Raw genomic sequence first — 4,597 nt, 5'->3', positions numbered from 1 at the left:
GCTGAGAGCCTGGAACAGAGATTTATCCACATATTTTTACAGCAAGCCAGTCATTAGCATTGTTTCTATAGATATTAAATTAACTAAAAGTATCCCTTATGGGAAATGAAGGGATAGGCCGAATTAAAGGAAAAGGTTGGGCTAGTTAACTGCAGCAGGAGCATGTCCTTAAGGCACAGATCACTCATGTTATTGTTTGTGGCTTAAGAATCCCTTTAAGCAGTTTTCTGCCCTGGGTGCGCCAGGTGTTCCTTGCCCTCATTCTGGTAAACCCACAACCTTCCAGCATGGGCGTTATGGCCATCATGAACATGTCACAGTGCTGCAGAGATTTTGTTTATGGCCAGTTTTGGGGCCAGTTTATGGCCAGATTTGGGGGGGCTTGTTCCCAACAATATCCCTAGCAAGAATCCTGGTCTTTTCCAGGTGCATGGGGATACGGCGATTCAAATTCTAAGATAATTGTATTTTCCCACCATCACTTCACTCACAAAGTTTTTATCACATCCAGTAACACCCTTTCCTCTAGAGTGACAATGTCCTCAACTCAAGCTCTCCCCAGCTCATTCCCTGAGGCAGGCTGACAACTTTTGAACTCTTTCACTAAGGAGGGGACTATTTCCTTGAGCCAAAATAATTAGTCCTCTAAGACCCTTGCCCTTTCCCCTAGAGTGTTTGTGTGAAGGACTCTGCTTCTCAGTGGTTACCTCCTCCTGTCCTGACCCCATATCCCCAGGTATCAAATGTGTCCACAGTGCTCAGATACTGATAGCAAAATTTGTTTTGTCTAAGTAGGTGGAAGAATTATTCAATTGCAATAATTTTTACTCAAGTAAGCAAACAATTTGTATTTTGCCAAGTATAGCTTTTATTGCTCCAGTCTTATTTTTATTATCCAATACTTAAAACTATTGAATACTTGTTATATTTGACCTTTCAGAGCTAGGCACAGGGGATTCAATGATGATTTTGTCTCTCATAGAAACTAATATGACAGAAACTAGTGACTTTCAGTTGTTCATCCACTCAGCATGATTCTCTTAGGGTTCTTTGTTACTCTGTCTCACCCTGGTAATGCAAGGCAGTTAGGCCCAGGCTATTATGTCAGGGAGAAATAGCCTTCTTTCCTTTACTCATTTGTGGTTTTCCATTTTAAATTTTTGTATAATTTCTGTTCACATGATTTACTTACTGGGCAAAGTTTGTCTTACTCTTTCTGTATTACATTCTAATTCATGATGAAGTAACACAAATAAAAAGAAGTAAAAGGCAAATAAGCCACATAGTTTTCCTCTGTACTTTTCAAGATTTCAGATTTTTAGTTTCTCATTTGAACTTTCCTAAAAAGCAAAACATGACATTATTTGTGAGCAAACAGAAAACAAACGTAAGTACAAATGTCATGAAAGTGAAAGAGGGAAGTGACTTTCTAGTGACAAAATTGCAAAGCGTAAGCTAGCAAAATTCAATGCAACCAAATTGAGGAGTAGGTGCTCTGGCAAAGAAGAAGAATGAAGGCCAATGTTGAGGTATACAAAGGCAGGGAAATGGCAGCTTCTGCTAGAGGCTCCAAGAAGAGCAACTCCTGGGTCAATGAACTGCCCTCAGTTTTGCAAAACCAGCTACATGACGTTTCTTTCATTGAGTCCACATTACTTATTCCCTTGCATTTTATTATAATATGTATTTTTTATTTTTCTAATACATAATATTTGTACATATTTATGCGGTAATGTGCTATTTTAATACATGCATAGGATATGTAATGATCAAGCCAGAGTATTTAGGATACCTATCACTTTTAGTATTTATATTCTTTCTTCATGTTGGGAACATTTCAACTCCTCTCTTCTAGCTATTTTTTAAATATATGATACATTGTTTTTAACTATAGTCACCCTACCATGGTATCTAACATTAAAACTTATTTTTTCTATCTAACTGTATGCATACATGTCATCAGCTCTGAGGAGAAAAGGGAGGAGTCACACCAACTGCCTCCCAAGAGACAGGCAATCAGACCCCAGTTGTTATAACACCAATCCTCTCTGGCAAGGTAATGGATATTACCTTGCCTGAACACTCTACCAAGTTAATAAATCTACTCAGGCAAGGAAAGGCAATAAAAAAATTTCTTCCATAAACCTACAGTTAAAAGAGAGGGAATTAGATTATCCCAGAAGATTCTGCTCTTAACCTGGCTAGTAGTAATTGTGATATTTTTTAAAAAAAGTAGATTAAAAAAATTTAAAAAAAAACAAGATCGCATGCTTGCAATGAATGATACACTATTCTAAGATCTTTACAAATATTAATTCAGGCCTGGGATATGGTCACACAGCTGCTCAGCCATCCTGGGGATATGTCTGCCGGGGTGGCCCATGGGGTTGTTTCTCAGGCCAGGGACTCAAGCACAGGGCATCCAAACTGGAAAGGAGGAAGTCAAATTGTCTCTGTCTGCAGACAATATGTTCTTATATGTAGAAAAACCTACCAAAGAGAGGCTCTTTGGAGAGGCTCTACCAAAAAACTCTTAGAACTGATAAACTAATGCAGAAAAATTGCAAGATACAAAATTAACATACAAAATCCATCACATTTCTATATACAAGCAATGAACTAGCTAAAAAAGAAATCCAGAAGGCAATCCCATTGACAACAGCTGCAAATACAATAAAATACCTAGGAGTACATTTAACCAACAAGATTAAAGAGCTCTACAAGGAAAACTATAAAACACTAATGAAAGAAATTGAGAAAAATACAAACAAATGGAAAGATATCCCATGCTCATGGATTGAAAGAATTAGTATCATTAAATGTCTATATTACCCAAAGCAATCTACAGATTCAATGCAATCCCTATGAAAGTACCAATGATTCTTCATAGAAATTGTAAACAATATACTAAAATTTGTATGGAACCATAAAAGACTTCGAATAGAAAAAATGATCCTGAGCAAAAAGAACAGCTGGAGGCATCATGCCACCAGATGTTTTGTATGACCAAGATGGAAAAATATTTTCCATTTCCTGCACTGAGGCAGTGAATGCTTTTAAAGGGCAGCTTACCAATGAGTTTGGCGTTAATGCCAAACTCAGCCCACCTACCTAATATGGTGGTTTTTATTTAATTTATAAACTCATCTTATTAAAAATCATAAAATAAAATTGTAGTATTGAAATAAACATATCATTAAAATCAGCACTAATTGATAAAATGATAAAAGCATTATTATTTTACCAAACATGTTCTTTGGAACCTAATCCTCAGGAAGTGGAAAGTAGGCACTTTAAATGTGCCAACCAAGTGTAGAAGGCACCCACTGGGAAAAAAAAAAGAATTGAGCCACCAATGATCTATTTTCAATTGAGTTAAATAAATTTTAATAAAGGTCTTTGCTGCTATTAGCAGTTGTGATCACCAAATACCCACATTACTAGTATCTGTCTTGCTGGGAAAGCTCTGCTCCAATTGTTGCTAAATGTATTCAAATACCTACCTGTATATCTTCTGCTCAAATATTATTTCATTTGTTTTGTTTTCAAGGGAAGCTGTATCAAGACCTAAATTTAACAGTTTCCTTTGATTGCATTGGCCCCATGAAAAATTTTCCCTGCAGTGGAATGACTTGTTGGCTCCAAGGAAGAAACCACAAGAGGCAGCAGGTAGTCAAATACCTCATCCTTTCCAGTAAACTACAGGCTCCTGTGGCATCAGTGTCATCCACCCTGGGACGCTGATGTTGGCCACATCTCCATAGGAGAACTCTGCTCTCAGCATCCACTTCAATCTTCTCTCCCTCTAATTAGAATAATCTGAACAGTTGACTTCATGCTCTCATTGGAAGTGTTCCATCTCCTGAGGACCTGTTGCTGTTCCAGTCTCTGTTCTCCTTCCATGTTCTCAAGCTGTGGCTGGTTCTTTCAACTTCTTCATATTGCACGTGGGCTCTGCTTTTTTGAACAAATGAGAGTCCTGAGCCTTGTGCAGTCTCCTCCTAGGAGAATTAAAACATAAGAGTGCCTAAACAGGGACAGATTTGCTCCTGGATTCTTTACCAGCTCATTGGGTATAGTCTGTGGGCAGGACCCCCTCTATTCAGTGTTTCTGTGCCCAGTGGGACATCCTTGACGTCTGCAGTCCTGAGCTTGGCAGGCAGGGAGAGTTCAGGCATGGCCACATTCACACTCTCACTCCCTGACCTGACAAAGCCTCAGTGTCTCCAGTGCTGCACCACGATATTTGTTACTCCTCCAGGGATCCAGGGAAAGAATCAAGGCTCCATGTGTCCCTCTTGAGGGGTGCTTCCCAGGCACCTGTGCAGGGCAGCCTGTGATAGAGCCCTCACTGCCAACTCTGCCACCCCCTCGCTTCAGTTCTCCATTACTTTAGGATTCACAAAAAATTAACTCTGGATATGATCAGGATATGATTACAGAGATTTTTCAGGGTAAGATGAAAATGCAGAGCCATATAATATAATTTCTGCTGACTGAACATAACATTAGAAACAATAAAAAGTAAAACCACACTAAAGAAATCCGCAGCATAAAAATCAATAAAAGAATAGAAGAGATAGTAATATCTGAAAAG

The sequence above is a fragment of the Homo sapiens genome, chromosome 9 (genome assembly GCF_000001405.40).
Source record: "Homo sapiens chromosome 9, GRCh38.p14 Primary Assembly".
NCBI classification, from domain to species: domain Eukaryota; kingdom Metazoa; phylum Chordata; class Mammalia; order Primates; family Hominidae; genus Homo; species Homo sapiens.
This window is presented reverse-complemented; position numbering follows the sequence as displayed.